General features: G+C 40.5%; 1 protein-coding gene across 7 annotated transcripts in view, besides 3 other annotated features; it reads left to right on the top strand.

The window, feature by feature from the left end:
- SMIM14 (small integral membrane protein 14) overlaps positions 1–20870 on the top strand; it is a 92530-nt gene that overhangs the window by 21497 nt on the left and 50163 nt on the right. For 3 of the 7 annotated variants that reach the window (NM_174921.3, XM_047449743.1, NM_001317897.2), the window contains exon 2: positions 12189–12298. In NM_174921.3, the coding sequence (NP_777581.1) occupies positions 12224–12298 (75 nt within the window). In that variant the 5' untranslated portion in view covers positions 12189–12223. Of the gene's footprint in view, positions 1–5255; positions 5404–12188; positions 12299–20870 lie in introns of those variants that run through there. The other 4 variants (XM_047449746.1, XM_047449744.1, NM_001317896.2 and 1 more) reach the window with 3 other exon arrangements.
- Positions 3395–3444: an enhancer, noted in NCBI's record as "active region_21463". NCBI's record gives its function as "activates an Ori minimal core promoter by ATAC-STARR-seq in GM12878 lymphoblastoid cells {active_cell/tissue: GM12878}" and the evidence as "EXISTENCE:reporter gene assay evidence [ECO:0000049][PMID:35858748]".
- Positions 7349–7548: an enhancer, noted in NCBI's record as "active region_21462". NCBI's record gives its function as "activates an Ori minimal core promoter by ATAC-STARR-seq in GM12878 lymphoblastoid cells {active_cell/tissue: GM12878}" and the evidence as "EXISTENCE:reporter gene assay evidence [ECO:0000049][PMID:35858748]".
- Positions 7789–7888: an enhancer, noted in NCBI's record as "active region_21461". NCBI's record gives its function as "activates an Ori minimal core promoter by ATAC-STARR-seq in GM12878 lymphoblastoid cells {active_cell/tissue: GM12878}" and the evidence as "EXISTENCE:reporter gene assay evidence [ECO:0000049][PMID:35858748]".

The following is a 20870-nucleotide window of genomic DNA, read 5'->3' as shown; positions in this document are numbered from 1 at the left end:
CAAATGGTGTAATTTCAGAAAACACATAATCGTATACAGTGAAAAGTCTCCTTACTAATTCTGTCCCCAGGCCACTTAGGTCATCTTTCAAAAACTAAAATCTTAAGGTTTGGGACTATTTGCAAACATCTCTCCATAGATAAAAACTTGGCCTTAAGTTACTAATGTTATTGGAGTTTTGACATCAGCATTTATTTTTATTTTGGGTAGTATCTGTTGTTTACACATGTATGTAATTTTGTACATATATGTAAATATTTACACATTCATATGTAAATATGTAATTTGGTTCAAAAAGTAATATGTATAGAAACATAGGAAAACAAGAAAAAATCAGTATCTGATCATCTTAACAATAACCGGTATAATGAGTTTAATGTACAATAATTCTTCCCCAAGTTTAAATTCTAGGTAGATAGTAATTCTAAATACTTTTAAAAACCTTAATCACAGGAATTTCACACTGAGCATACTGGAATTCTGACTCATTTCTTAGGAGGGAAATGAATATCTTAGTATTGTTGCTCTTGGAAAAAAAGCTGGGAACTAACCTTTTTGAAGGAGAGAGGAAACCAGGGATTGGCAAAAAGAGTAGAGAGGTTTCAAAGGGTACATATTTTTATACTACAGCCTTGAGAAAAATAAGGAAAAAATCCAGTTGCAGTAATTCTGGGTCCTTAGAATCCTGCTTTTCTTTTTTCTTTTTCTTTTCTTTTTTTTTTTTTTTAAATGTAAGGAATGGATTGGAAGATGTATAGAGAAGATAAGCTCACAGTCAGGTTACACTATTCTGTTACGTTTTGATGTGGGTACCAGGGAGGATTAACTTAAAAAGGAAAGGAAAAGAACTTTCCAAATCATGCTTTCAGTTTATGTCTGTTAGCACAATGGAGTCTGAGAAGCAAGAGTCAGAAACTCCCAAGTTATAAAATGTGGCCAGGCGCGGTGGCTCACTCCTGTAATCCCAGCACTTTGGGAGGCTGAGGGAGCAGGTCACTAGAGGCCGGGAGTTTGAGACCAGCCTGGCCAACATGGTGAAACTCCGTCTTTACTAAAAATACAAAAATTAGCCAGGTATGGTGGCACACGCCTGTGTTCCCAATTACTTGGGAGGCTGAGGCAGGAGAATTGCTTGAACCCAGGAGGTGGAGGTTGCAGTGAGCCAAGATGGCGACACTGCACTCCAGCCTGGGTGACAGAGTGAGTCTCAGCCTCAAAAATAACAACAACAACAACAAAATTGGGAATATTTAACCCTTTTCAGGGATGTCCCTTCCTTGTTTTCAGTGGAATAGCCTAGCAGAATAAGCCAAATCTACTATAGAGATACTATTAGCAAGAGGCCAGTTTTGCTAGCTATACCATGTTACTACATAGTATGTTTCATTGCTTGAATGTACCATAGCTTTAATTACTAACATTTGGGTTCTTTATAGTTTTTTAAATTTTCAGTAATCCACAATTCAGACAGTCCCTTAGGACAGAGTGATAGAAATATAATTCTTAAGGATACAAGCTTTGTAAAAACACTTTTTATTATAGGTTTAAAAAATATACACAAAAGTAGGCTCAACAGTTTTCAGTTACCCATGATCCAGTTTCAATGGTCTTTAACTCCTGGCCAGTCTTGTTTCATTGATCCACATCCAGTTTTTTAGTTTATTTTTTTAAAATATCATTTTTTTAGAGCAGTTTTAGGTTCACAGGAAAATTGAGAAGAAAGTATAGAGTTCTCATATATCCCCTGCCCCCACACATGCATAGCTTCCCTACTATCCGACACCAGAGTGTTAAACTTTGTTATATAGTCAACGAACCTAACATTGAAAAGTCATTGTTACCTAAAGTCCATAGTTTACATTAGGGTTCACTCTTGGTATTGTACATCCTATGGGGTTTGACAAATGTATAATGACATGTATCTACCACTGTAGTAGTATACAGAATTGTTTCACTGCCCTAAAAATCCCCCCATTCATTTATTTATTTTTTAAAGTTCTTTTGGACTTGACATTTTTTAAGTAAATATTTTTATTTTGGGATAAATTTAGACTTACAGAAAAGTTGCAAAGGTAATACAAAGTTACAGTATACTCCTCACCCCGCTTCCCTTAATATTAATATCTTACATTCGGGCCGGAGGTCGTGGCTCACGCCTGTAATCCCAACACTTCGGGAGGCCAAGGTGGGAGGATCACTTGAGCCCAGGAGTTCAAGATCAGCCTGGGCAACACAGCAAGACCCTGTCTCTATAAATAAATTAAAAAAAAAACATTTTAGAGACTCTATCGGCTATTTTAACTCCCTCTGTCTCTTAGAGACTTGCATGAGCTGGAGTGTTTAAGGTTCTAACAGCAATGATAAATTGGTTAACAGCACTGGAAAATTCCCTCACCACATATAGCAACAGTATGACTCAACTGAGTTATTACTGCCAATCCCTACCAGGAAAGGTTGTATTAGTTGTAGAGGAGAGAAAATGACCTGGACCTGCAGAATAAGGGGAATTGCTTTTTGCCTTCCCAACATTCATGTTCTTTCACTGCTTTTCTGTGCTAAGAATTGTTTGAGAGCTTCAGACATGTTTGTTTATTTTGCCCTTAATGCTACATAGAAAGTCACTTATAAACCATGTTGCTTAATATATACCTGGAGTCAGATTGCTATCACAAAAATGGGAAAATGCTGACATATAAATTAAATGACTATTATGGAAATATAAAAATATTTTTAAAAAGTAGCATAGGGGCCGGGTGCAGTGGTTTACGCCTGTAATCCCAGCACTTTGGGAGGTTGAGGCAGGCAGATCACCTGAGGTTGAGAGTTCAAGACCAGCCTACCCAACATGGTGGAACTCCATCTCTACTAAAAATACAGAAAATTAGCCGGGCGTGGTGGCACACACCTGTAATCCCAGCTACTCTGGAGCTGAGGCAGGAGAATCGCTTGAACCTGGGAGGTGGAGGTTGCAGGGAGCCGAGATTGTGCCACTGCACTCCACCTTGGGCAACAAGAACAAAACTCTGTCTCAAAAAAAAAAAAAGTAGCATAGGAACTCCCCAGAACCTATAACCCAACTTCAATAATTATCAACTTATTGTCCGTTTTATTTCATCTATGCCTATGTTTGCTTCCCTTACTGCTCCTCGATTATTTTGAATTTTCTTTTTTTTTTTTTTTTTTGTAATGGAGTTTCGCTCTTGTTGCCCAGGCTGGAGTGCAATGGTGCCATCTCGGCTCACTACAACCCTCCCAGGTTCAAGCAATTCTGCTTCAGCCTCCCAAGCAGCTGGGATTACAGCCGTGCACCACCATGCCCAGCAAATTTTTGTATTTTTAGTAGAGACTGGGTTTCACACCATATTGGCCACACTGGTCTCAAACTCCTAACCTCAGGTGATCTACCCACCTCGGCCTCCCAAAATGCTGAGATTACAAGCATGAGCCCACCGTGCCTGGCTATTTTGAATTTTGTTAGTAAACTATTTATGTTTTCATGACTTAGACCTTTGTGACCTGTTGCACATTTTTGAGAAACAAGTCTTGAAGCTGCTTGTCCTCAAGGATCAAGCCCCCCGTGACTTTGGTATTAGCATTGTTCTCTAACATTAGCGATATATATCGGGGAGATGAACAAGTCAATGAAACATACAAGATGAAACTTTGTTTTAAATTACTTTCTATCAAAGACCTCATTGAGGCAGATGTACTAAAATTCTGATTCAGTAAAACTGTTCTGTCTTGCCTAGGATAGAGCAGCTTCTTAATGTCTCTGGAGACCAAGGGATTTAAATGTGCGGTGGGACTGGTTAAGTTTTTTTCTTCTAGTGCCTAGCTGCTGGTTTGTGTTGACACTTGTTCTTGGGTCCTCACCAAAAGAGAACTGTGTTCATTCTATTTTCAAAAAAACCCCCAGTGATTTTAAAATGGAAACTGTTAACTGAAAACGGAGTAGTACTTAAAACAGCTCAAGTGTACAGGAAGAAAGTTCCACAGAAGTGTAGCACTATTGAGGAATGTCCTATTTATAAATATACTTTCTCATTTTACTGGAGGCTAATTAAGACTGAAGTATAATTTAAAATTCTGGTTGATTTACTTGTTCCTGGCACATATAGATGTAGAGAAAATAAACATTGTCAAGAATTCAGTAAATATTTATTCTATGAGTGCTGTGGCTAAGCAATATAGGTGGTGTTCAGAGATGATGATGACTAAGATTTCTGCCCTCCAGAAGCTCTGTTTTTTTTAGGGGTGGTGGTGGAGTCTGATTTTGTTGATTTAATGAATTAAAAAGAGATTTTAAAATAGCCATGTTTTACAATTTTGATGGATAATACATTGATAAAAACAAGTCTCCCTTTCTTTATAAAAGCCAATGTGCTTGTGCTTTCTTAAATTTCTGTGTTCAGAGGCTACAGAGGTGGTCATTTCTGTATTTAATTTCTTTTATAAAAATCTTAGTAAAAGGCCATGCTTGTTGGTTCATGCCAATAATCCCAGCACTTTGGGAGGCCAAGGCAGGTGGAGTTCTTAACCTCAAGAGTTCAGGACCAACCTGGGCAAATGGCAAAACCTCGTCTCTACCAAAAATACAAAAATTAGCCAGGCATGATGGCAGGTGCCTGCAGTCCCAGCTACTGGGGAAGCTGAAGTGGAAGGATTGCTGGAGCCTGGCAAGTCGAGGCTGCAGTGAGCCATGATTGTGCCACTGCACTCCAGCCTTGGTGACACAGTGAGACCCTGTCTCAAATTTTTAAAAAATAAGAAAATCTTAGTAAAATATCTTTTCATTTTAACCAACACAGTATTGGCCTGGGGGGATACACGTCAGGAGTAAGGAAGGATGGACTAGTATTTCATTTTAACCAACACAGTATTGACCTGGGGGGATATACATCGGGACTAAGGAAGGATGGACCAGTATCTGTAGTTAACACTTGCTTATATCCAGACCAGCATAGCGCATGTGTGTAATCCCAGCTACTTGGGAGGCTGAGGCGGGAGAATTGCTTGAACCTGGGAGGTAGAGGTTGCAGTGAGCCGAGATCACACCATTGCACTCCAACTGGGGTAACGAGTGCAACTCCATCTAAAGAAAGAAAAAACAAAAAAAGAAAAGACAGTTGAGAAACAGGAATTTACTGGTGAACTTTACATATAAGGGTAGGTTATATTTACTTTCAGAGTTTTCTGTGTTGCATATGTACAATCAGTTCTCTAATGTGAAAGCTAATCACCCTTTTTTTTTTTTAAAGGTGTTGACAGAGTGGCCTCAGACAAAACTGTGAAGTAGAGTTTGCATATGGTGTTGCTTACCTTCTGGAAAGTGAGCCTCTCCAGCTCAGGCCGCATCTCCATCTCCCTTTCCAATTCTCACCTCCCCTTCTCCCCTTAGCTCAGGCAAGCAGATCTAGAAGGATATTAGATGGAAAGGTTTGCCCTGTTTACAGCTTGATTTCATCTCAATATATGTTGGTTGGTTCACCAAATCACCATGTAGAAATCTACCTTATTCTTTCTAACAGCTGTATAGGATCTCATGTACTCATTGTATCATTTAATTGGAACAACACTGATAAATACTTTGCATTACTTTTTTCTTTGCTGTTACAGTATTCCAGTAAACATGCTGTACAGAAATTTTGCATACTTGTTTGAATATGAATATTCAAATTAACCAGGATGAATTATTATTATTATTTTTAGATGGAGTCTTGCTCTGTTGCCCAGGCTGGGCAATCTCGGCTCACTATAACCTCCACCTCCTGGGTTCAAGCGATTCTCCTGTGTCAGCCTCCTGAGTAGCTAGGATTACAGGTGCATACCACCATTCCTGGCTAATTGTTTTTTTTTTTTTTTTGAGATGGAGTCTTGCTCGGTTGCTCAGGCTGGAGTGAATTAGTGCTATCTTGGGTCACTGCAACCTCCACCCCCCGAGTTCAAGCAATTCTCCTGCCTCAGCCTCCTGAGTAGCTGGGATTACGGGTACCTGCCACCATGCCCAGCTAATTTTTGTATTTTTAGTAGAGACGGGGTTTGGCCATGTTGGCCAGGCTGGTCTCGAACTCCTGACCTCAGGTGATCTGCCTGCCTTGGCCTCCCAAAGTGCTGGGATTATAGGCGTGAGCCACCGTGTCTGGCTGGATGAATTAATTTTACCAATCTCCTGATAGGTATAAGATTGTTTTGATTTACACTTCCATTTTTTATTTGCTTATTGGTTCTGTATTTTCCTGTGAATGTAATCTTCGCTCACTTTTCTTCTAGGTTGCCATTTTCATACTGATTTTTTCAGAGTTCTCTGTAAATTAAGGAAACTAGCCCTGATATTGCACATGGTTTTTCAAGTTTGTTGTATTTTCATTTTATGGTGTATTTTTGGTTTTATAGAAACTTTTATTGGTTTTGGTTGTTAAAATTATTGGTCCTTTCCTTCATGGTTTCTTGGACTTATATTCTATATGTATCCCAGTCATCTTCTTGTAGTTATGTATGTGTGCCTTTTTAAAATTAAAATTTATATTTTAGAAGTCTTAATGCATAAATACATACTCATAAGAAATGTAAAAATTGACAACGAAACTCTAGTCCCTAAAATTTTATTCTCTTCCCCAGAGCTATTCACATATTAAGTCTGTTGTATGTTCTTTCAGTTTTTTTTTTTTTTTTAAGAGACCAGGTCTAGTTCTGTCACTCAGGCTAGAGTGCAGTGGTGTGATCATAGCTCACTATGGTCTCAATCTCCTGGGCTCAAGCGATCCCCCTACTTCAGCCTCCAGAGTAGTTAGAACTACAGGTACACGCCACCACACCCAGCTAATTAAAAAAAATTTTTGTGTGTGGAGATGGGGTCTTGCTATATTGCTCAGGCTTCCAGTGCTTTATGTATGTGTCACAGTTTACTTTAAAAAAAAAGACAATCACCCTGCCATTTATTAAATAATCCATGATTTTAAATGGCACCTTTTGCATATTTTCAATTTCAGTAAAATCATGGGTCAATTTGTGGATACTGTGTTCTAATCTGTTGCTGTAGTTGACTAATTTTATGTGTGACTTCATTTTTAAAAGTTAAATTGGACCAGGCGCGGTGGCTCACACCTGTAATTTCAGCACTTTGGGAGGCTGAGGAGGGAGGATCACTTGAGCTCAAGAGTTCAAGACCAGCCTGGGCAACATAGGGAGACCCCGTCTTTACAGAAAATTTAAAACTAGCAAGATGGGGTGTGTACCTGTGGTCCCAGCTACTTGGAAGGCTGAGAGGGAAGGATCACTTGAGCCTGGGAGGTTGAGGCTGCAGTGAGGTGTGTTCGCGCCACTGCACTCCCACCTGGGTGACAGAGCCAGACACTGTCTCAAAATTAAAAGTTAAATCACTCATGCGTCTAGAATTTATTTTGGCATAAGGAATGAGAATAGGGAGGGAGCTAACACCATTTATGAAATAATTTGTCTTCCTTCCAGTGATTCAATATGCTGTCATTAAAATATCATTCTCCAAGGAGCCCCGCCGTTGTCGCTGATCTGTTGAAAGAGCATTTTAACTAGGTTCCCTCTACCTACTGTGGCTTCCCTTTTCTCAGTTTTCTATCGTGCAGCTGAGGTGGTCTTTTTAGAACACACCAGGATGAAAGCACATTGCTTCACATTGTTCTTCACATTGCTCTTGGGGTAACGACCTAATCATGAACATAGCCGGAAAGACCCTTTGTGGCATGACTCCCTCTGACCTCTCCTGTGTCATTTTAAACCACTTTGCTATCCAGATTCTAGCACAGTGTGGCTTTCTTTCAGTTCCTCCAACATGTCATACTCTTACTCATAAAGGACCTTTGTACTTCTTTTCCCTTTGTGTCTAGAATGCCCTCAACCCCCAAGTCTCACACCTTCTACTTCTACCTCTCCCTAATGTATTTAACTCATTCCTTCACTCTCAACTTCTAGTTAATTTCTTCAGTAAAATCTTCCCTGACTCTCCGGATGAGTTTAGAACATGTATATGCTCTCTAGGCACCATTTATGTAACAGCTTTTTTGAGATATGATTTACATACCATACAATGCACCCGTTTAAAATGTACAATACAGGCCGGGCACGGTGGCTTATGCCTCTAATCCCAGCACTTTGGGAGGCCAAGGCGGGCGGATCGCTAGGTCAGGAGTTCGAGACCATCCTGGCTAACATGGTGAAACACTATCTCTACTAAAAAAAAATACAAAAAATTAGCCGGGCATGGTGGCACGCGCCTGTAGTCCTAGCTAGTCTGGAGGCTGAGGCAGGAGAATGGCTTGAATTCGGGAGGTGGAGGTTTCAGTGAGCCGAGATCATGACACTGCACTCCAGCCAGGGTGACAGAGCAAGACTCCATCTCAAAACAATACATAAAATAAAATAAAATGTACATTACAGTGTCTTTTAGTATATTCACAGAGTTGTGTGATTATCACCATAGAACAGTTTTTTCAGCCCCCCTGAAAGATCCTATACACATTAGCAGTCACTCCCTATTTCCCCTGCAAACTTCCCAGCTCTAGGCAACCAGAGTGATTGTTTTTAATGGGGTAAAATATAACAAAATTTGCAGTTTTAACCATTTTTAAAGTGTACAGTTTGGTGACATTAATTACATTCACAGTGTTGTACAATTATCACCATCATTTTGAAAACTTTTTTATTACCACAGATAGAAACTCTTTAAGCAGTAACTTCCCATTCCTTTCTTCCCTAAGTCCCTAGAAGTCACCATTCTACTTCCTGTCTCCATGAATTTGCCTATTCTAGCTAGATATTTCATATAAATGGAATCATAGCATATTATTTTTTGTCTGGCTAATTTCAGTTTGATGAATGTTTTCAAAGTTCATTCATGTTGTAACATATCAGAACCTCATTCCTTTTTACAGCTGAATATCCCCATTGTATGTGTATACCACATTTTGTTTATCCATTTTTCACTTGATGGACACTTGGGTTGTTTCTGTCTCTTGTCTATTGCAAACAATGCTGCTCTGAATATTTGGTAAACAAGTATCTGTTGAAGTTCATGTTTTCTTTTTTGTTGTTGTTTATAAATACAGACAGGGTCTTGCTCACCGTGTTGCCTGGGCTCAAGTGATCCTCCCACCTCAGCCTTCAAAAGTGCTGGGATTATAGGCGTGAGCCACCATGCCCAATCTTGAGTCTATGTTTTCAAATCTCTTAGGTATATACCTATGAGTAGAATTGTTGAGTCTTATGATAATCTGTGTTTAACTTTTGAGGAACTTTCAAACTATTTTCCACAGCAGCCACACCACCATTTTACATGAGGGTTGTATGAGGGTTCTAGTTTTTCTACATCACTCATTTTCCATTTTGATTATAGCCATACTAGTAGGTATGAAGTGGTATCTAATTGTGGTTTTGATTTGCATCTCCCTAATGATTACTGACTTTAAGCATTTTTAATATAATTATTAGCCATTTGTATATTTTCTTTGAATAAATGTCTGTTCAAGTTCTTTGCCATTTAAAAATTGCTTATCTTTTGTTATTGAGTTATAGAAATTCTTTATATGTTGTGAATACTAAACCTTTATCAAACAGATGATTTGCAAATATTCCATTCTGGGAGTTGTCTTTTCACTCTTTCGTTTATCTTTTATAGCATTTATCAGTTTGTATTTATAATTTAAAAAACATTTAGATTAGTATCTGTGTCTACTACTGGAATGTGAACACCATTAGGGTAAGAACTATCAGTTTTTGCTTACTTTAAATTTCTTTTTTATTTTTACAGAGATGAGGTCTCACTATGTTGCTCAGGCTATTCTTGAACTCCTGAGCTCAAGTGATCCTCTTGCCTCAGCCTCCCAAACTACTAGGATTACAGGTGTGAGCCACCATGCTCAGCCTACTTTTAAATTTCTAATAGGCTTAGCATAAGCACTAAATATTTTTGAGTGAATTTATGTTAATCACTCAATTTTTAATTTTAAGTTAATTTATGAATTGTTTTATTGATCTGCCTATTCCACCTTTTAACCAGAATGGTTTTCCATGGCTAATGCTGTATATAAGCATAATTTTACTCGTTATTGAGATATAATTGATAAACAATAAACTATGCACATTTAAATATACAATTTGATAAGTTTTGATGGATGTGTCCACAATTCACATATATTAGACCATTTGAAGTTGTCCCACAGCTCACTAATGGCCTATGTATGTTTTTGTTTATTTTTTTCAGAGATGGGTTCTCACTGTGTTGCTCAGGCTGGCCTTGAACTCTTGGGCTCAAATGGTCCTCCTGCCCCAACCACCCAAGTGGCTGGGACTACTGGTTTATCCACCCCTTTTTCTATTATTTCATTTTTGATAGCTACTGTTATTATGTCTTCAAGTTCAGTAATCTTTTCTTCTGTAATGTCTCCTATGCTGTTAAACCCATCTGGTGTATTTTTCATTTCGGACACTATTGTTTTTATCTCTACCAGTCCAGTTGGATGATTTTACTATCTTTAATGTCTCTCCTTAATATAGTCATTCTTCTAGTTTCTTCTCCCCAACTTAGGGATACCACTGGGCTCTGGTCTGGGTTTTCCCACCACATACTTGGAACTAGAGTCTCCTCGAGGCAGTAAACTGGGCCAGTGATAGGGCTCATCTCATTTGTTTTTCCGTCTCTCAGGTGTCACTATTCTTTGTAGCCTCATGTTCAATGTCTTTTTTTTTTTTTTTTTTTGAGACGGAGTCTTGCTCTGTCGCCAGGCTGGAGTGCAGTGGCGCGATCTTGGCTCACTGCAACATCTGCCTCCCGGATTCAAGCGATTCTCCTGTCTCAGCCTCCTGAGTAGCTGGGACTACAAGCACACGCCACCACGCTTGGCTAATTTTTGTATTTTTAGTAGAGACGGGGTTTCACCATGTTGGCCAGGATGGCCTCTATCTCCTGACCTTGTGATCCACCCACCTCGGCCTCCCAAAGTGCTGGGATTACAGGTGTGAGCCACCACACTCAGCCCTTTTTTTTTTTTTTTAAACATGAACTCACTGTGTTGCCCAGGCTGGAATGCAGTGGCGTGATCATGGCTTATTGCAGCCTTGACTGCCAGGGCTCAAGCAATCCTCCCACCTCAGCCTTCTGAGTAGCTGGGACCACAGGTTTGTGCCACCATGCCCAGCTAATTTTTAAATTATTTGTAGAGGTGAGGTCTCACTAGGTTGCCCAGGCTGGTCTCAAACTCCTGGGCTCAAGTGATCCTCCCGCCTCAGCCTCCCAAAGTGCTGGGATTACAGGAGTAAGCCAGTGCGCCTGGCCTTAATATCTTAAAAACAATTGTTTCTGGCCGGGCACGGTGGCTCACACTTGTAATCCTAGCACTTTGGGAGGCCGAGGTGGGCAGATCACCTGAGGTCAGGAGTTCAAGACCAGCCTGGCCAACATGGCAAAACCCCATCTCTACTAAAAATATGAAAAGTAGCCGGGCGTGGTGCATGCCTGTAATCCCAGCTACTCCGGAAGCTGAGGCAGGAGAATCTCTTGAACCCAGGAGGCGGAGGTTGCAGTGAGCTGAGATCGTATCACTGCACTCCAGCCTGGGCGACAGAGCGAGACTCTGTCTAAAAACAAAACAAAACAACAGCAAAAAACAATTGTTTCATGTATTTTGTCTAATTTTTAAAAAATTGTTTTAGGCAGAACAGTAAATCTGGTTGCCAATACTCCATCTTGACCTCTCATTTGTTTCTCTTTATTTTTTGAAATCTACCTAGCTATTTTTTAGCTATGTCATTAATTTCCCCCCATAAACCTTGGTATCATTTTAGATACCTTTTCAGATGTCTTTCTTGGTGAGGGTAAAGGCTGGTTTAAATTATTTGCATACTGGAGCTAATAAAGTCAAATAATTGAGTAATTAAGCAGAGTAGGTTCTAGCATCTTCAGCATCACAGGTGGGGCCAGTTTAGAGCATTGAAGACATTTGTATTTATGGGCTGATGGCAGAAGGGGTAGCCAATCACCTGTATAGATTCATAATTCATATAAGATTAATAATAAATTAATAGATACAAGTCAATAAATACAAACTATACATAGTTTAATACTATTGTGAATGTAATCAATATCAGAATTTTTCATAGCTCAAGAGAAAGAGTAATTCTGAATTGTAGACTTAACAGTATTTTTTCCTTCCTCCTAGATTTAAACAGTCAAGTAAAATCAAGCTGGGTAATCATGGCAGAAGGTGGATTTGATCCCTGTGAATGTGTTTGCTCTCATGAACATGCAATGAGAAGACTGATCAATCTGGTGAGATGCAACAGGACAATCCTATTCTGAACTGATCTGTATCCCTTGTATCCTCTTTTCATGAAAATACTGGTTATTGGAGGGTTTTCATCTGATGGTCACTAAAGAGTATTTCATAATTGAAATTCCACATTTGTTTAAGTTGTAATGATTAAAATGTGACCGGGCACAGTGGCTCACACCTGTAATCCCAGCACTTTGGGAGGCCAAGGTGGGCGGATCACTTGAACTCAGGAGTTCGAGACCAGTTTGGCCAACAAAGCAAAACCCCATCTCTACTAAAAATATAAAAATTTGCCAGGCGTGGTGGCACACACTTTTAATCCCAGCTACTCGGAAGGCTGAGACACGAGAATTGCTTGAACCCAGGAGGCAGAGATTGTTGTGAGCCGAGATCATGCCACTGCACTCTAGCCTGGGCGACAGAACAAGACTCTGTCTCAAAAAAAAAAAAGTTTGCTAGCAATTATTTCATTAGAGATGAAAACAGACTACCGTCTTTATTATTGTTATTATTATTATTATTATTATTTTGAGATGGAGTCTCGCTCTGTTGCACAGGCTGGAGTGTAGTGGTGCTATCTCGGCTCACTACAGCCTCCACCTCCTGAGTTCAAGCGATTCTCCTGCCTCAGCCTCCCGAGTAACTGGGACTACAGGAGTGTGCCACCACGCCTGGCTAATATTTGCATTTTTAGTAGAGACTGGGTTTCACCATGTTGCCCAGGCTGGTCTCAAACTCCTGACCTCAAGTGTTCTGCCCACCTTAGCCCCCCAAAGTGCTGGGAATGCAGGTGTGATCCACCTCCCCAGCCCAGACTACTGTCTTTATGGTAGATTTATGTTGGTGACATTTGCCATCATGGGTAGATAACACATATGTATATTGCCTTTTCTACTTTATATCAATACAAATAAAATTGTTTTTAGCTGTGTGGAGCTTGTTTGCCTGCTAAGCTGCTATTGACAGTTCCTGTTATGATATAGTTCATATCCTACACCAACATATGGCATGACAATACGAATCTCTATGTAAAGCATTTCTTTTTTTTTTTTTTTTGAGACAGTGTCTCACTCTGCCACCCAGGCTGGAATGCGGTGGTGCGATCTCGGCTCACTGCAACCTCCACCTCCTGGGTTCAAGTGATTCTCCTGCCTCAACTTTGCAAGTAGCTGGGATTGCAGGTGCGCACCACCATGCCCAGCTAATTTTTGTATTTTTAGTAGAGACGGGGTTTCACCTTGTTGGTCAGGCTGGTCTCAAACTCCTGACCTCAGGTGATCTGCCAACCTCGGTCCCCGAAAGTGCTGGGATTACAGGCGTGAACCACTGCGCCTGGCCTATGTAAAGCATTTCTGAAAACAAATCAATTATTTGACAGAGGTAGATTTCTGAACAACAAGATTTGAATAGTCTCATTGAGTCGATTGTAGTGAGTCTATAAGCTTAAATACAGGGCTGTTTATATTATACTTTATTATTGTTATTATTATTTTTTATTTATTGTTTTTGAGATGGAGTCTCGCTCTGTCACCCAGGCTGGAGTGCAGTGGCGCGATCTTGGCTCATTGCAAGCTCCGCCTCCCAGGTTCACGCCATTCTCCTGCCTCAGCCTCCCAAGTGGCTGGGACTACAGGTGCCCGCCCCCATGCCCAGCTAATTTTTTGTATTTTTTAGTAGAAATGGGGTTTCACCATGTTAGCCAGGATGGTCTCAATCTCCTGACCTCGTGATCCACCTGCCTCAGCCTCCCAAAGTGCTGGGATTACAGGCATGAGCCACCGCGCCCAGCTATATTATACTTTATACTTTTTATGTGCAAAAGGAAAAATTTGACCATTATTAACAGTGAAGTATATTCTTATATTACACATTATACTGGTTGAGTATCCCTTATCCGAAATGCTTGGGACCAGAGGTGTTTTGGATTTTTTTTGCATTTTGGAATATTTGCATTATACTTACTGGTTTAACATCCCTAATCTGAAAATACAAAATGCTCCAAAGAGCATTTCCTTTGATCATCATGTTGGTGCTCAAAAAATTTCAGATTTTGAAGCATTTTGGGTTTCAGATTAGGGATACTCAACCTGTAACATTTTATTGTTTTAAAATACTCTTGTATGTCAGTTAATAAAGGTACGTACAAACATTTGCTCAAATATTTAAGTTGTCAATAACTAATAAGCAGGTTTTCTGCTTGCTTAGTGTTGCTACATATAGTGATCAGAAATGTGTTTCTTGTGAATGATGTACTTTTTTAGAGTCAGCATGCACTAGGACTTGTGATCCTTAAGAATGCCTCAGAAGGAAAGGAATAAAATAAGAACTTATACATTAAATCAGACTCTTGAGGGTATAGAAATATAATGGTAATGTGATGGCTCTGATAACTTGGTGTAAAAATAGATGAGTCTAAGGAGAGAATATTTGTTTATGAAGCAAAGAGCCGATCGTTTTTGTTTGTTTGTTTTTTGACATGGAGTCTGCTCTGTTGCCCAGGCTGGAGTACAATGATGCAGTCTAGGCTCACTGCAACGTCTGCCTCCTGGATTCAAACGATTCTCATGCCTCAGCCTCCCAAGCAGCTGGAATTACAGGCGCCTGCCACCACGCCCAGCTACTTTTTGTATTTTTAGTAGAGATGGGGTTTTACCATGTTGGCCAGGCTGGTCTCGAACTCCTGACCTCAGGTGATCCGCCTGCCTCGGCCTCCCAAAGTGCTGGGATTACAGGCGTGAGCCACTGCGCCCGGCCAATATTCTTTTCTAATAGGCTTTTCCACCTCTCATGCATCCATTATCATCATTTTTTTTTTTTTTTGAGACATGACTTTGCTGTCACCCAGGCTGTAGGGCAGTGGCACGATCTCTGCGCACTGCAACCTCTGTCTCCCAGGCTCAAGCAATCCTCCTGCCTCAGTCTCCTGAGTAGCTGGGACCACAGGCACCAGCCACCACACCTGGCTAATTTTTGTTTTTTTTATAGAGGTGGGGTTCTACCATGTTGCCCAGGCTGGTCTTGAACTCCTGAGCTCAACTATCTGCCTACCTCCCCCTCCCAAAGTGCTGGGATTACAGGCATGAGTCACCAAACTAGCATTTTTTTTGTTTTTTTTTTTTAAGATAGGGTCTTATTCTTTTCCCCCAGGCTGAAATGCAGTGGTGTGGTAATAGCTCATTGCAACCTTGAACTCCTGGGCTCAAGCAATCCTCCCACTTTAGCCTCCCAGGTAGCTAGGATTACAGGCATGCACCACCATGCCCAACTAATTTTTTACATTTTGGTAGAGATGGGATCTCCCCAGGTTGCCCAGGGTGGTCTCGAACTCCTGGCCTCAAGTGATCCTCCCGCCTTAGCCTCCCAAAGTGTTGGGATTATAGGCATGAGCCACTGCACCCCACCTCATCCATTATCTTCTACTTTTATACTTCAGAGGACCTTTTTTCTTAGTACCTGTTATCTGACAGCTTTATAGAACTCTAAGTTAACTCCCAGCCTGTATTTTAAAAGCAATTTATCTGAGGGTATAATTTTTTGCCGTTAGTTATAACTACGAGAATTTAAATCCCTGTGTGCTTAGGAAACTCACAGATGTAGTTACTGATACAGTATAATGACAGAACAGATTTATTCTCACTTTCTAAAAATGGACATTTAATTCATCTTTGTAATAGAGTAAAATTTCAAGTACTAATTGTGAATTTTTGGGTTTTTTTGTTGACCTCATGTAATGTAATTGGGTTTTTTTGAAGGCCAGAATATCATCAATTTTTAAGAATTTAAAGTTCTTATAGCAAGTAGACACCTGGAGAAACTTGAAGATTTTAATGATGATTTACAGGTTAGGTCATTAGTTATATGCTGGGCTGTGGTTTAGTTTTTGCCTATTCTGTAGAAATAGATGAGCTTTGCCAAGGAATATACACAACTTAGGAGCAGTTAGGATTTTATTATTAGTTCCTTTTCATAAATAATAAAGTATACTATGTACTACTATAAATAATGCCTAAGAGTATGATACATAAATCTGTTATGTTAAATTTTTTTTAATAAACTTTTTTTTTGCTTTCTGGGAGCATACACTCAAGTTGCCCTGAATATACATTCCCTATTTTTAATTTTTAAAATAAAATTGTATTTATTCACAATTTAAAACTTCTTTTCCTGCTTTGTTTGTTTATTTATTTATTTATTTTGAGATGGAGTCTCCCTCTGTCACCCAGACTGGAGTGCAATGGCGCGATCTCTGCTCACTGCAACGTCCGCCTCCCGGGTTCAAGCGATTCTCCTGCCTCAGCCTCCCGAGTAGCTGGGACTACAGGCACACAGCACCACACCTGGCTAGTTTTTTCTCTTGTTTTGTTTTGTTTTTTCTTGAGATGGAGTTTCGCTCTTGTTGCCCAGGCTGGAGTGCAATGGCGCCATCTCGGCTCACTGCAACCTCCACCTCCTGCATTCAAGCGATTCTCCTGCCTCAGCCTCCTGAGTAGCTGGGATTACAAGCGCCTGCCACCACGCTCGGCTAATTTTTGTATTTTTCGTAGAGATGGGGTTTCACCATGTTGGCCAGGCTGGTCTCAAACTCCTGACATCAGGTGATCCACCCGCCTCGGCCTCCCAAAGTGCTGGGATTACAGGTTTCAGCCACCACACCCGGCCCTTTTCCTGATTTAATAGTGTTATCAGTTAAGGTTCTTCATTATGAGTAATAGAAATTCTGGATGATTAGGCTGGGCACGGTGGCTCATGCCTATAATCTCATCACTTTGGGAGGCTGAGGCAGGTGGATCACTTGAGGCCAGGAGTTTGAGAAAGGAGTTATTAAAGTGTATTTTGTAGCTCACATTGGAGAGCCTGGCATGGGAAATAGGATAAAAGGGAGGGTAAGTTGTCAAAACAAGAGCCAAAGTCATGCCCCAATGCCAGCTGGGCTAAGATGCTCATGCTTCTGGATTCCAGGTCTTTGTATATCCAAATGTTGACACATCTTTTCCATTTAGAAACTAATAGGCATTTTAAATTTGACATGTGTGTAACCAAATTTATCTTGCCCCTAAGCTTATTCTGAATGTTCAGGTAACAATTTCAGTTCAATTATCTTTTACCCTCTTTTTCTTTTTTTTTTTTTTTTTTGTTGTTGTTTTTGAGACGGAGTCTCACTCTGTTGTTCAGGCTGGAGTGCAGTGGCACGATCTCGACTCACTGCAACCTCCGCTTCCCGGGTTCAAGCAATTTTCCTGCCTCAGCCTCCCAAGTAGCTGGGACTATAGGTGCGCGCTACCATGCCCAGCTAATTTTTGTAATTTTAGTAGAGACGGGGTTTCATCATGTTGGCCAGGATGGTCTCGATCTCTTGTCCTCGTGATCCACCCGCCTCAGCCTCCCAAAGTGCTGGGATTACAGGTGTGAGCCACTGTGCCCAGCCTACCCTCTTCTTTCAACCCACATCTGATGCAGAACCATCCTTTGGGTCAACCTTAAAAATACATCCAGAATCCAGCCATTTTTCACACCTCCAGTGCAACACCTTGGTCTAATCTACCATCATCTCTTGCCTGGATTGCTGCATTTAGCCTCTTTATGGATCACCTTGTTTCTGCCCTCTTGCTACCCCCAAGCCCCCTCAAGTTTAGTCTCACTACAGCAGTTGAAGTGATCCATTTTAGTTAAGTCAGTAATGTTTCTCCTTTGCTCAGAATCCTACAGTAGCTTCCATGAGACTCAGAGTAAAAAAAAATGAAATTTACATGGTCCTGTGTGATCTATCCCCTTCCACCCTACTCTTCTCCTTTGCCCACTTTGTTCTAACAATTCTGGCCCCCTTGCTGTTCCTGGAAAACAGGTCACACACTAAGGGTCAAGAATCTAAACGACTTTAGACTTCTCAACAGCAAAACTGGAAACTAGAAGGCATTGGCACAGTGGCTTCAAAATCCTGAAGGGAAGTCATTACCAGTCCAGCATTCTGTATCCAGCCAATCTCTCAATCAAGTTGGGGGAGTATGCTTTCATAGGAAGTTCCTAGAGGATGAGCTATTTTTCACCGAAATGAAGGCATAAGCCAAGAAAGAAGACTAGGATTTTGAGTGTAGAAAGCAGATCTAGCACATACGAGAAACAAAGTACCTTCCAGGATAATGGTGAAGGGACATCCCAGGGTGGCAGCTGTGCATCAGGACTACAGGGAGCTGGCTTAGTTGCAGGGGGGCGGTGGATGGGGGTGTGGGGGTCACATGGCTCTGGGAGAGACTTTTTTAGAAAGATGAATTGGTAGAATACCTGGTGAGTCTAGACATCTTGTGATCTAGGGAACTGTAAACAAGTTTTGAAAAGTCATAGAAAAATGCAAAAAAAGTACTAACTTTAAAGAAACACATTAAGTAGTACAGAAAAGAAAAAGTAATTACAGTATAGTTTACTGTGTGGCTCAACTGTGAACGTTTATGTAGTTATAATTGATAACTGAGTACTGAACTAAACAACTTTATGATACAACCATTATTAGGGGATGGAAAGAGTATACACGGGGTCAGGGAGGAGAAGCAGATCTTCATACTCTATACTGGTACATCTATGGGTATTTAACATGGAAAAATCAAGAAGTAGCAATAATGCATATTTATATATAAAAGACATGGAGGTAAGCAGTAAAACAATCAGCTAAAAGTTGAAAATGGTTGCCTCTGGAGGGAGAAGTGGGTAGGAGGATGAAAAATTACTGTTTTTCAGAACAAACCTTATAGAACTGTTTGACTCTAAATTGTGTACACGAATAACTAAAACAATTAAAACTACCACACAAAACAGAAAGCAAAACCTTTCAGTGAGTACAAAAAGGAGGAATAGGTCTATTGAGTAGCTGGATCTGTTGTGCCTCTTTTCCCTTCTATGCAGTATAAGGTAACTGGCTTAGGCCTTTGCTACCAGGCTAAAACCACGAGAGTTGCTGTCTAAGACAAGTAGAAAACTTTTTGTGGGGAGGACTCCTAGTTGCATGTTAAGGACCAAGAGGGAAACCAAGGAAACCCTGAACTCTATAGTGGTTGTAAATAAAGTGAGAAGGAAGAGAAAAAACACTTGGTTTTGGAATGAAATATGATATAAAGTCTTGTAATGAAGTCTTCCCTATTTTGAGAGTTAAGAGGCTCTTTAGCCTGCCTGCATACTTCCTTGATTAGGGAAGCTGTTTGTATGCCCTAACTGTTCATTGAGCTAGTCCTTCATTAATGTGAGCAGAAAAACAGGCAAAGTAGTTGAAGAAAATAAAAGGACCATGATGTAGTGAGGTACAGCTACATTAGAAGACAAGATGAAGTAAATACTTACTAATAGGAAAAATCATGAACATTACGGTTATAAATGCAGACTCATACATGTTTGTTTTGTTGGGTTTAAATACCACCAGTGACAGTCTGGCCAACATGGTGAAACCCTGTCTCTACTAAAAATACAAAAATTAGCTGGGTGTGGTGGCAGGTGCCTGTAATCCCAGCTACTCGGGAGGCTGAGGCAGGAGAATCACTTGAACCCCGGAGGCAGAGCTTGCAGTGAGCTTAGATGGTGCCACTGTGCTCCAGCCTGGGCAACAGAGCCAGACTCCGTCTCCAAAAAAAAAAAAAAAAAAAAAATACCACCAGTGACAATGACTTTCTGAAATGGAGGACAGGTCTTGGTAGAGCTTTAAATAAAACTAAGTACAATTTTCCCTGATTTAAATGCTAAAGTCCAGTTTAATTCCTTGAAAAGTCAATACCATCTGAAAATTATATTTTTCTGTCAGATGAAGTTAGATTATAGGCTCAGGGTTTTCATTTTTGTGAGTGTCTAGTAGGACATTTTTAAGCCATGTAGGATGCAAGCCAATCACAACAACCAAAAATCTGCTTCTCAGATGTCCAGAATACTCTAGGGAGTCATATGGATGCACTGGGGAACCTTAGAATGATAGAAGAAGTAGGCTAAAAAAAAAAAAAAAAAAAAAGGGAAACCTGGGCCGGGCACCGTGGCTCATCCCTGTAATCCCAGCACTTTGGGAGGCCAAGGCAGGCAGATTGCTTGAACCTAGGAGTTCAAGACCAGCCTGGGCAATACGGCAAAATCCCTTTTCTACAAAAAATACAAAAATTAGCGGGGCATCTTGGCACATACCTATAGTCACAGCTCCTTCAGAGGCTGAGGTCAGAGGATTGCTTGAGCCTGGGAAGTCAAGGCTGCAATGAGGTGTGATTGCACCACTACACTCCAGCCTGGATGACGGTGAGAATGCAAAACTATTAGAAATACAAAGAGAATTTGATAAACTGATATTTTAGAAGTATCAGAGAAGTGCTAGTGAGTGCCATAACGAAGACTTTGTAGGCTTGTGTATTGCTGAAGTCAGTACAATGTTTTTGCAAATAGTAAAAAAGGTTCAAAGGGATATACCTCAAACAGTGGTTACAGTGGGGAGGGTTTGAAGGGGGCCTAGTCCATTGAAAACCTCTAATGTAAGTACTAGGATTTCTTTTTACAGATAAGGAAACTGAAGTAAGTTAGTTTTCCCAGGTGTTGGAACTGACCAGAGAGTGG

Source organism: Homo sapiens, chromosome 4, assembly GCF_000001405.40.
Source record: "Homo sapiens chromosome 4, GRCh38.p14 Primary Assembly".
NCBI lineage: Eukaryota > Metazoa > Chordata > Mammalia > Primates > Hominidae > Homo > Homo sapiens.
This window is presented reverse-complemented; position numbering and strand designations above follow the sequence as displayed.